Source organism: Homo sapiens, chromosome 2 (genome assembly GCF_000001405.40).
Source record: "Homo sapiens chromosome 2, GRCh38.p14 Primary Assembly".
In the NCBI taxonomy this organism is placed as follows: domain Eukaryota; kingdom Metazoa; phylum Chordata; class Mammalia; order Primates; family Hominidae; genus Homo; species Homo sapiens.
Window position 1 is genome coordinate 213,155,599 of NC_000002.12, and position 12,187 is coordinate 213,167,785.

General features: G+C 34.8%; 1 long non-coding RNA gene across 1 annotated transcript, besides 1 other annotated feature; it reads right to left on the reverse strand.

Moving 5' to 3' along the window:
• Positions 1–217: 217 nt before the first annotated feature.
• Positions 218–12,112, reverse strand: LINC01953 (long intergenic non-protein coding RNA 1953). Its single transcript, NR_146974.1, has 4 exons — positions 11,795–12,112; positions 3,514–3,683; positions 1,429–1,519; positions 218–332 (listed from the first exon to the last, which is right to left on the reverse strand). It is a non-coding gene; the product is annotated as a long intergenic non-protein coding RNA 1953 (long non-coding RNA).
• Positions 1,689–1,758: an enhancer, noted in NCBI's record as "active region_17062". NCBI's record gives its function as "activates an Ori minimal core promoter by ATAC-STARR-seq in GM12878 lymphoblastoid cells {active_cell/tissue: GM12878}" and the evidence as "EXISTENCE:reporter gene assay evidence [ECO:0000049][PMID:35858748]".
• Positions 12,113–12,187: the final 75 nt, after the last annotated feature.

Here is a 12,187-nt window from a genome sequence, read left to right on the forward strand (position 1 = left end):
GGTCTTTTTAGCAGAAGGTGGGAGGGGACAATTTGGAAAATTATAATTCTTTCCTAAAATCAAAGAAGAAATTTTTGGAAATGAATTCTATATTTTTTTATTTAAATGGCTTTATTGTGCTAGATATATAATCAACCAGAATAGGTACCCTAAAATAACTTGAATCCCTGAAAAAGTTAAGAATAACAGGCACACATAAGCACAATGTTTTAAAACCGATAACTTCTTTTATTTTTGTCAGGTGATGTTGTTCTTGTCTTTGAAGTAGTGTTCTCTTTTTAAGCGGGATATGGAACAATGGTCTCACTTACTCCTGTTGACCTAGATTGGCACTATGAAGAAGCAAGAAAGCCAAAAATGGAACTACCTTTTCAAAGAAAATATTCTAAGATACCAAATCCAGTTCATAAGTAAAGCATATAAATACTGTCAAACTTTACTTCCCTGAGTGCACTGATAGTCTGGGGTCTATTCAGCTGGCATATAAGTCCCACATGCTGAGGGTCTTCTAATTCCATCTACCTTGAACAATAGTTTCTTTTAACAGTCTTAAGAGTGTCACTTTGCAATTAGAGATAAGGCTCTTATGCAAATACTCATGTCCCTAAAAAAGGTAACATTATGACTTAAATTCACACGTTGATAGAATACTATCAGATTTCTTCCAGAGAGAGTGTTTTGCTGTAGAGCAGGTGATAAGCTAACTCTATCCCAAATGAGAATGATAAATTACGGGAGTTAAACCAGTGGGGTGAGGACCAGAGAGGTTCCTGAAAAAAATGAAAGCACACATTTTTAAAGATGTCATTAAAACCCACCATAATTGCTTTTAAAATGCAGATTTGTTCAGCATTTGATAAAATGAGTTCCATTAATGCAAAAACAAGGGAATTTTGAACTGGGTCAAGTGGTGATGCTCAAAGTCAACTCTAAAAAGGATTGAGAAGAAACCCTAAAATTTTAGAGCACAAAAAGTACAGGGAAGTTATTGGAATCCTCAATGAAGTGTTAATTCAAGAAATGAAAAAGATATGATTCAACTTTGTAAAGAAATAACTTACCAAAAGAGGGTAACAAAGGAGAAGACGCCTGGTGAGCATTAATTTAGATACAGGACAAAAAAAAAACTCATTATTTGGAATATTTTTCCGCAGCTACATGCAAGAGATTAAAAAGAAACTTATTTTGCTGGGGACCAGCAGGAAAACCAAACATAATCATTTGACTTTGGAATTGGGAGGTGAAAATAGGACAGATTAACCTAACGATCTGTGATATCAAAGGTTGGATTCTGCAAGAGAGATCCATACTCTAAAGCAGAGTGATGACAGGTTGCATCTCAAGGGAAACATTTGGTGGTTAAACCAGTGCCAATAGCAGTATGATACTGTCTTTTTAATCCTGTGAAAAGCTTGTGGAAGTACATACCCAGTGTTTGTGAGAAGCTTCAACTCTTTATAAACCAAAATTCTTTCACAGTAAAGCAAAGTCTAATCACTTGCTTAACAATCCTGTTAAGCTGAAAAAAAAAAAAAATAGAGGAACACATTACCAACAGATAGTAAAGGAAATAATCCAGAGAATTCACCTTCCCCATTTTTATAGCCAGATGGTTACAACCTAGGGAATTGAGAACCATATAGGGATAGAACTGGGGAGCCATTTTCTGTTTTATAACTCTGAAAGAGGGCGTGAGCTATGGAAAAGGGAATTGAATCAAAGAAAGGTCATTTACAAGTAGTAAAGTCAAATGTCATCTCCCCCAATTTTCATGACTGTGGTTTAGAAAAAGGTTAGCTTAATATAGAACTTAGTGTGGCATTCTGAACTGTCGTAAGACATGATAAAGGAGAGAGTAACACCATCAGTGTATCTCCCCCAGCAGCTGTGCCAAAGCTTCACAAAAGTATTTAAAACCTGACGTCATGGTGAGGTACTAGACACCTGGGAAAGTCCCACTCAGTAGACTAAGAATATCACTCTAAGTCCTGTAAACTATATTGCAGAAATGGCCACATTGGAAGACTGTACTTTTGAAGTGTACTATTATTGAGAAATAAATCCATACGAAGAATCTATAGCATTTTAAATTGATGATATAACTGATTTCAATGAAGTTAGAGTATCAGTGGGACTAGGAAAGTCACATATATCATTTTTATAATTATATCCATTTATTTCGTGCCAGATACCATGGTAAGCATGTTACATGCATTATCTCATTTAACACCCACTGTCATTTTAAGAGAGGTAATACTACCCCATTTTTCACATGAAGAAAGCTTGGAGACAGTATTAACTTGTCCCTGGTCCCACAGTTTCAGAGCTAGACAGTGTCAAACACATATTTTAAGTTCTAGAAAGCCCATATTCATAACCATCATACTATAGTCTCTCTAAATTGCCAATTATTTTCATCAATCATACAGACGTCTTACTGTAGTTAAATCCAGCCTTATGAGTAATACGCAGTCCACTGTTGTATCTCTTGAAAGCATACTGAATGTCCAGGGTGTTTTAAGAAGGTTAATTGAATGTGGTATCAACATAGAACTTTTTACCAAACCCAGAACTTATCTATGTGTGAAACATTACCTATTTGGCATTTAGTATGTTAATATCAGATGTTTATTAATATCTAGAGCTCTTCTCAATAAGTGAATGACATGAGAGAATCACTGAGAGTGAATTGAAAGAAAGTCACCCTATGAAGAGTTGAGTAACAATCAATGGTGACACAGAGATCCAGATAAGAACATAACTTTAAAGTCTGGGTCACCAAGCATATTTGCACATTTTATTTCAAAGGGGACCATTTCAGATTTATTACTCCCAGAAACAGATGGATCATACGGCTGCCTTTTGTAGACATACTTCACCTACATGTGTAAATAATGAGTGCATGGCTTTCTGTGATAAACACTGTAATTGTAAATGGTTACGGCTTCTTAAACGATATTTCTCAGGAAACAGATTTTTTTTCCAGTGGAGAACAGCTCTCAGTTTATAGTAAAAGTCAAGTTGAACATTTTGCTAGGGTTTATACATGAAGCTTGTGAAATTAGAATGTTTCTCTTGTTTTTAATTTACAAATACAGTGAATACTGGAGTAGAGAAACGTAACTATATTATTTTAATTAGGATTTCCTATCCCATGCGTGTAGAAGTTACATATTTGCTCTCTCATTACAGGTTATTTTTTCTAAGAACAAAAAGAAATAATGCTTTTATTTGATAACAAAGACACTATTTACTTGAAAAGCCAATCAGTGATTTTAGGGGAACTCTGCTTAAGGGTATTTTGAATAACCTAACCCAGAAGAGCTTCCTAAAACATCAGGTAGTAGCCAACAAATAAAATGAATATGGTATCTGGTATGTTCAAAATATATTGTTTAACATTTTCCCATATTTATGTTAGATGAATGTTTGGCATCAGACTGGTTGAATATTTAAAAAGGAAGGAATGATGTTCCTTCACAACGTAATATGGAAGACAGAGGAGTACCTTACCCGCAAGTCTTTGGAAATATTGCCTTCAGAGGTCATTCTTGATGTGAGGGGGACACTGCAGGCTGTCAGGCCTGGTACCATTAGGCAGTCTATCGTACACAAAACTCTTTGATCAGTTCTAAGCCCAACATTAGCGACTTTCTGATATTTTCACTCTCCATGTGATTTTCCTATGTGAAGGGAATATACATGATCATTATATTTTTATTTAAAAACAAATGATATTTCTGGTTTTTTTCCACCTATTTCTTATGAGTTTAGAAATGCATGGTTTTCCTTTCTAAGAACAGTACAGTACTGCATCTGTAAACTTGAGTTGAAGGCTAATAGCCAGTCTCTTGAAAGTGGAGCTCACTAAGGTCATGCCATTCGGCACTGTCCCTGTCACCTGGCCAGACTTCTCTCCTGACCCTCGAGAATATGGCCACCATCCTTCTACCTGCTTTAGAATGTCAGTGGATTCATAAGCAAGACAGCCTTCTTAAGTTGATTCATGAGGGACAGCAGTATTTTTGAAACAGCCTGACTCAATGGAGCCCCGCAGAGATCTGAGAGGAAACCCAAAAGATCTAAGAATGAGAAAAGGAGAGATTAACACCATCAAATTCTGCCTGTAATAATGACAGCAGAGTTGTTGAGAAAAGAATAAGTGAGGGAATGGAGGCTGTCAGTATAGATGGTAATTTCAAGAAGTTTTGCTGTAAAAGGAGAGGTAGAAGCTAGTAGCTACAGGAAGATGTGGGATTGAGGGAAGTTTCTTGTTTGTTTTCTTTTGTCTTTTAAGTAAGACCTTGACATATCTCAGTGCTAATGAGAAAATTGGTAAAGTGGGGTCCCTGAGGGAATAGGAAAGAAAAGAATCTATTGCGCAACTGGCAGGAGTAGCTTCAGCTAGAAGAGGACATACCTCATGTGCTTAGGATAAGTAAGAAAGGAAGGTTGAAGATGTAAGTAATTTTGTGCGTTGTCATGGTGGGAAGTTTAGGAAAGATATGAAGAAGGTATCAATGTTATTTATTAAGGTTGAAAAGCCACTGGATTGAAAATGTAAGAAGAGTGAATAAGTTTGAAATAGTTGCTTTTATAAAAATAGAGAGAGGCTAACTGAAAAAAAATGTAGAAAAATAGGCAAGCCGAATAGAGGACCCAGTTGAGGCTGGTGACCACAAATAAACCATCAATAAGCTCAATGCTATAACTGTAACTGGGCTCACAGCCCAGATAGAATCTTGAAAAGAATGAACCACAGGATTGATCCAGTGTAAAAAATTCCACTGGCTGCGGAGCTGGAAGACATTGAATCAAAGAAGTTGAGCTTGACTTAAAGAAATGGATTGGAGTAATGGATCATCAAGTAAGCTATACAAAACAGAGAGGGTACTGACAGATAGAAGTAGAGGGGTACAGAGACCTCAATTGGGTCCCAGTGAGGTTAAATAATTTGCATAAGAGGGAATAGTGAGAGATAGGAAGGTATAGAAGATTGTGAACAGAAATTTCTGATGGAGAACAAGGTGCCAGAATCCGGAATGGAGGTTGAGAAGTCATGGCCTCTAGGGGGTGGAATATCAGAAACATGAAAGGATAATCGGGAGATGTAGCTCTTGGGGAAGAGAGGGAAATACTGAACTAGGTGCAAAAGTCTATGAAGAATGAATCCCTGGAAAACTGATAAATAAAAGCGAGGAGGAAGAATTGTGAGGTGGTAGCTGGAAAGCATGAACATCAGAGGAACCGGGATTTTACATGAAAGTGTATATGTTCTGAAAATGTCTTTGGACTACATAGGGGATGCTGACTCCTTAGTCTAAACTTGAGCAAGGTGAATCAGTAGAAAATGAAAAGCCTTCACTTGAGAGGACTATGGGTAAGTTGACCATATGAGCTGGTTTGCCAAGAACTGTCTCAGTTTACACCTGTGGTCCTGGCATCATTATTAATAGTACCCCCTTTTATTCTTAAGTGTCTTGGTTTCTATGTGACATTACATATTCATCCTAGATGAGAAGGAGTAATGACCTCAAAGAAGACCTTTTTCATTTAGGCAATGTTGTTTTTATGTTTGTTGTTTTTGTTTTTGAGACAGAGTCTCACTTTGCCACCCAGGGTGGAGTGCAGTGGCGCAATCTTGGCTCACTGCAACCTCCGCCTTCAGGGTTCAAGCGATTCTCCTGTCTTAGCCTCCTGAGTAACTGGGATTACAGGCATGTAATCCCAGTTAATTTTTGTAATTTTTGTGGTGACAGGGTTTCACCATGTTGGCCAGGCTGGTCTTGAACTCCTGACCTCAAGTGATCCACCTTCCTCGGCCTCCCAAAGTGCTGGGATTACAGACATGAGCCACCGCACCCAGCCTAGGCAATGGTTTTTTTTTAAAGAGGTAGGAGGCTATAGATGGATTTACCTGTTTGTTTTTGGTTTTTTTTTTCTTAAAAGAGGAGTTCCAGGGGCCATAATGAAAAAGCTTTGAGAGCATATTGAGCAGTGAGATATTGATTCAGGAGAAAGGAGGTTCTAAGCAGTGTTGTAATTGAAAGTGCAGAAGAAAGGGGTTAACCTCAGCTTTAGCTCCCATCTTCCATTTCAATCTTTGTGTCAACTTTCTCATTCTTTCCATCTGGAGTCAAGTGGACAATCAAGCCTTCATAGGTGAAATATGCCTACTATTATTTATATCTTTGCATTGTTGCAAGTGATTGCAGCAGTTATTGTACTGCAAACTGACAGATACAGGTAAGAAAACTTTATAAACGTTTACCAGAGTCCAAGTTCCTCCAGATCACTGCCGTACAATGACTCCTAATTGAGATGATAACCTCCTACTATTTGCTTTCTTTTGCACTTATGTTTTGAGTGTTCTTTATTCTGAGCTTTGGCAGATTCAGCTCTGTCTCTGCCAACTCCATTACTTGCTTCAAAATCAGGGTAAAAAAACAAGGCAGCTTAAGGCCTCTGGATCATATGAAGACTGGTTTATTCATCGAAGTCACTAGATTTTGCCAAGCATTGTACACTGAGAGCTGATGACGAAAGGATTAGAGTACTCAAGTCAGATGCCAATGCCAAAAAGGAAGCAGAAATTAACCACCCTTGCTAAAAGCAAAATATTCTTATGTCTCTAGTCACAACCATAGGCTAAAATGCACCTTCAAAGAGCAGTATAACATGTAACCAAATTGTAATTGAAGATTCCTTTTTTAAAACGAAATGATCCCAACTCACTAAACACAGAAATCTTCATTACAACATCATCACAGGAGACCTTTAAGTCAATGAGGTCATTTGTATTTTAGTCTGCAAATAATATATTACTGTAATGCAATGAAGGCATAAAGCTTATTGATGTACTTTATGGAAATGTAGGTAAAGCCATTTCTCTGAGTTAGGGATATTCTTCAATGACCGTGGCAAATAAATTAAAACGGGGGATTTTTATTCACTTTCTAAAAAATATTCTTTCCAGTTTCCAAATAGACTGTCCATAGGAATTCTTAAAGTAGTAAGCTAGCAGCATGAATTCAAAATGTGAATCATTTGTTTAAAAATCTGCACACATTTTTTTAGAATTACCTCATAATAAGCCTCACTGCTTAAAACCATGGTTCAAACTTGTTTTCTGTACCTAAATGATCCACATGCTAAAGATATTCCTATTTAATTCCATCTTTCATTGACAGAAAAAATTCTAAGCTGGAGTCACCCCCCACTAGCTTCCCACTATGTTCTGCAGGAATATCAGAGTATTGGAAATGTTATAGCAGTTTGAAAACTATCCCCCTAGAACAGTATTTTTCAAATGCCTGGTTGTAACCCATTAGCAGGCTGTGTGTATTTAGTCAGTCATAACCAGCATCTAAAAACAAAATAGAATCGAATACAGTACGTTTATCACACACAACAAAGATAAATAAAAGGTAACTTTTTGTATCAGAGGTATATCTATCTATCTATCAATTGGCTCACCATGTAAAAGCTATTTTTACTCCCTATGGATTACAGGGTCAAAAGAAGACTGAAAGCTACTGGCCAAGAGAATGGATAAACAAATTGAAGTGTATCATTTCATTGAAATATTGCACAGCAACTAAATACTACAACAAATACATATATATACACACATACATATATATGTACTACATAAATCAATACATATATAAATACATAAATACCACCACAAAAATCCCTAAAATATTATACAGGGTAAGATAAGTGAATTGTTAAAGGATTCTCATATAAATTGTTAATACTTAAAAACATAGAAAACAATATGTATTGTTTTTGTACATATGTATATGTAGTAAAAGTATTATAAAAGAAAGACACCACTTTTGGAATAGCAGTAACCTCCAGGGTGAAAGAGAGGAGGATGAGATGCATCTGCAACGTTTGATTTCTTAATAAACACAATTCTAGAAGACAGGAGACCTTTATTCTAATTCTGACTCTGCCATTACCTGACTGTTTTACTCTGATTGGGTGACTTCATTGCTCTTGTCCTTGTTTCTTCCTATGTGAAATGAAGGGATAATACCAGAGAATGATCAAAGAGTCAGGCTGGAAGGAGAAGTGGATTTGTGTAATGAAAATATTTACTCATCTAATATTTAACTCATAGAATTTAAATGATTACTCAAAGTTAACCAGCTAGCTAATGGTAGAACTCAGGCTAGATAGAGAGAAGTCATCTGGAATCATAGTGTTTCATTCTCTACCCTGTAATTATGCCTTTGATGAAAGATAAAAGGACATGGCATCATTTTATGTAGGATGGTAAAATCAAGAGATTACCATTATCCTCATCTTACTATATGAAGTGGGCCTTGTGACCTATGCTACTGAAGGAGAGAATGAATATTTTGAAAAGGCCAAATATAATCGAATGTGTATATGTTTTCCCCGTTAAATTTTAAAAGCAGTGAAGATCACTGTCAAGTGAACCTTTAGTTTAGCTATGTTTTATCTTAAATAATTGATAGTAGCCTCTAGTCCTTTGATTTATAAATGGGAAAACATGAAATAGTTATTTTTAAGAGTGATTTATGGCTACTTTTGAAGCTGGTTGATTGATTTATCCACCAGTACTTCCTACAAGAATTCGAATTCAGGGTAAATTCAGAAAATAATAAGAGAAACTAAGATGCAAAGGGGAAAGAAAAATATCAAGAAATCTTGGTTATGAAAAAGCCACAATTGAACACAAAACTTACTTCTGCAAACATAGTAATCAGATAAAAGAGGAAACACAGTGTTGGTTACATAGCTCATATTGTCTGGGAAGGCTGTGAAATCATCAGCCCAGATTAAAAAAAAAAAAAAAATTCCAGGTCAGTACTCCAAGAGGAATTTGACCCAGGGGATACTGGCAAAAGTACCATTGGCTATATAATTATCAAGATCTTTCAATCCAGAAGGCCTGCTGTCAAATCCAGGCTCCTATGATTTACTCTGTTACTTAACAGTTGGACAAGTTTCTTAATAGTCTCAGTTTTCTCATCTGTTAATAGTAGATGAAAATAATAAAACTTACCTAAGTTTTGTTTTTAATATGGTTTACATGAGTTAATATTTATAGTTGATCAAATCAAGTCTTAGAGCAATGCCTCATTCATGGCTAAGGGTTTTATTTGCATTTCTTTGATAAGCAAATGAATATTCTAAATAGCAGTTTTACAAAGAACATTCTTAAATTAGTGTGATTGAAATTATTACAGTTAATTATTGCAGTGACATAAAAGCTGATCATTGTTTTGTAACTTAATTTTCTTTTCTTTTCTTTTTTTTTTTTTAAGAGAGTCAGGATAGCTCTCTGTTGCCCAGGCTGGGGTACAGTGTTGTGACTATATAGTTCACTGCAGCCTCGAACTCCTGGGCTTGAGCAATAATCCCACCTCAGCCTCCCGAGTAACTGGGACTACAGATGTGCACCACCACATCTGACTAATTTCTAAAAAAACTCTTTTAGAGATGGGGGTCTCTCTATGTTGCTCAGGCTTGTACCTTAACTTTATATTGATTTCCTTCCCAATATTTAAAAACCTTTTCCCAAATGTCTGATGTCATTTTTTTAAACGAACAAATCAAACTAATGAAAAACATATTTTCTTCCACATCAGAGTGCCTATTTCTTACGCTTGCTCTTCAAAATGTAGTACCCCAAATAACATATATCAGATTCAAATTTTTCTATCCAGACCTTGGTCAACTCTAAATTAGAGCATTTGTATAATGTAAGTGCCTAGAAAAACCTCACATAGCAACAATCAGCTGAACTAACCTATGCTTACATAGGGAGTGCAAAGTTTAGGACAACCTGCCAACTAAGTTTTCTCCTCCAAGGACTAAAAATTGCCTAGTTTTTGTTTGTTTGCCCTCATTGGGAGTCTTTAAAATGAAAAATTTTTGCTTAAGCATTTTTAAATGAAATCAGATCAAATATGCTCAAAAAAACTATAGACAAAAACCTATGTATATGGAAAGACAATATAGTCTGTTACACTTTATTTATATACAGCTTTAATTCTGTTAAATTGCTACACCACATTTTTATTTTTGCCCCTGAACTATGCTGATACCATATGTTATAAATGAATGCTTTGTGATTCCCTTTAGGTTAACTTATTTAGCACCTACTATCTACATCAATAATGTTATCATTTATCTCAATAAAATATATTTTTTCTTGTATGTGTATCTTATCTACACTGCTATGTTAGAGCAATTTTAGAGAAAGACTCAGTCAACTGTTTTTATAGTGCTCTTATTTCTTAATACAGTGCTTTAAACAGATTTGGTACTATATTTGTAATAAAAATTATCATAGAGATAAAACCCTTCATCAATAAAGTGTTATAAAATATTCCACTGCTGTCTAATCATTCATTCATTAAAAAGCACTTTCAATGCAGTTTCCTTTCTCTTTTTCTAAATTCAAATACCGACGTTCTTTTTAAATTTAGGCCTTTGCACTTTGTCTAAATTGACCAAGCTATTATGGTCTTCTGTAGTTCTTAAACAAACATCTCTTTGGTGTCTCTTAAATCTTTTCAGTGTTTATAAAAAGGCTGTCAAGTGTTTTTAGCCTCTTTTCAGAATTTATATTATCATAGTCTTTCAGTTCCTAATATACAACTCAAACACTGGTGTTCATTTAGAGTACTATCTTCATACTATGTACTTTAAAAAAAGTGAGCTTATGTCTTAAAATAGTATATGACTTCAATATGATAGCAGAACTAAAACTAGGATTAAAGTCTAGCATTCAGAAACACCTGTTAACTTATTCTCAATTTCTTTTAACTCAGGCTACAGAACATAGTGAACTTTTACTTTTTTCTTGTTTATTTTTACTTGTTTTTCTATCATATAATTCTCATAATATTTTTTATTTCTAAATAAAAAATTAATTTTGACAGTAAATTGAATGTAAAATTGGACATACATACACTTAACAGTAACGCAGAATTGTAGCACAATGTATCTTGGTCTTAATGTTTAATGTTTTCATGTAAAAGGTTATTTGGTGGTAGATTTCTTTAGGAGCAGGATCTTAGGAGCCATCAAAATAGTTAACTTATCTCATTTTCACTCAGTTCAAATCTCTCATTTAGTTATAGCAGAACTTAAAATTCTTATTTGCAAATCCATGTTGCAAACTGGATGGAAGTTTATTTTTCATTGCAGGGAGTGAGAATTTTATTATAAGTCATTCATTTTTGTCATTTAAACTTTGATTAATTCTAAGAATAGTTGAAGTTACTGTGAGAAATATTTGAGAATCTAAAGAATTAATTTAGGAGAGTCTCAATGACCTAGAAGGCATATAAGATTAAATTCAATGTGATGTAATGAAAACATTGTAATATATTTTGACACAACCCATTCATTTGATATATTGTTTATCATATCTATGTATTTCAGGAGGTCATAGTCATAAACTGTGAATGTCCTTTTTTAAAATCTCTAATAATTGAAGTGAAATTAATTGTGATATGAAATAATAAAATTATAAAAAAAATTAGTGTAGCTTGCAGATTATTAATTGTTATGGAACTTTTTGATGCGTTACTAAAAGTTGATATGTCACCACCCGTCTCCATGGACACAGTAATGTGTGTTTTAGAGAAATCATCCAGTATATCTTGTACTAAGAGCCAAAAGATATTTTCAATAGAATTAATAAATTATTGCTTAGATTTCTTTTTAACAAAGCAATTTTTTATCAAGACTTATCTAGCTAAGTACAATAACTACAATAGGAAGAAATCAGAATCTCTCTCATTACCTGCTTCTGTAATTGTGCATGCATAAAGTATGCCTGAAGGCTTTGGAAAGAGAGATTCTGCAAACTGAATACTAATTTTGTGAATACTGTAATTTCATGTCTGCCATCCATGTTCAAGCCGGTTGTGGCTTGAGGAGCAGCTGAGGCTTTATGGAAAACTTTGTAAAACATTCTATTTAGAAGCAATTCTTGTTCTTTGCATTATGTGCTCTGGGTATTTTTCTTCCTTTGTGTTTTATTTTGAGCGCATTTGTATGAAAACAAGATCTTTGTTTCTTACAAGCACATCTGCTCTTGCTGCTTATAGATTAGGAGAAGTCATCATCCTCTGTGACATCATAATCATTTCCATGGCAACCAGTTTGGCTTACTTGCTTTGAAAATGTAATAAAA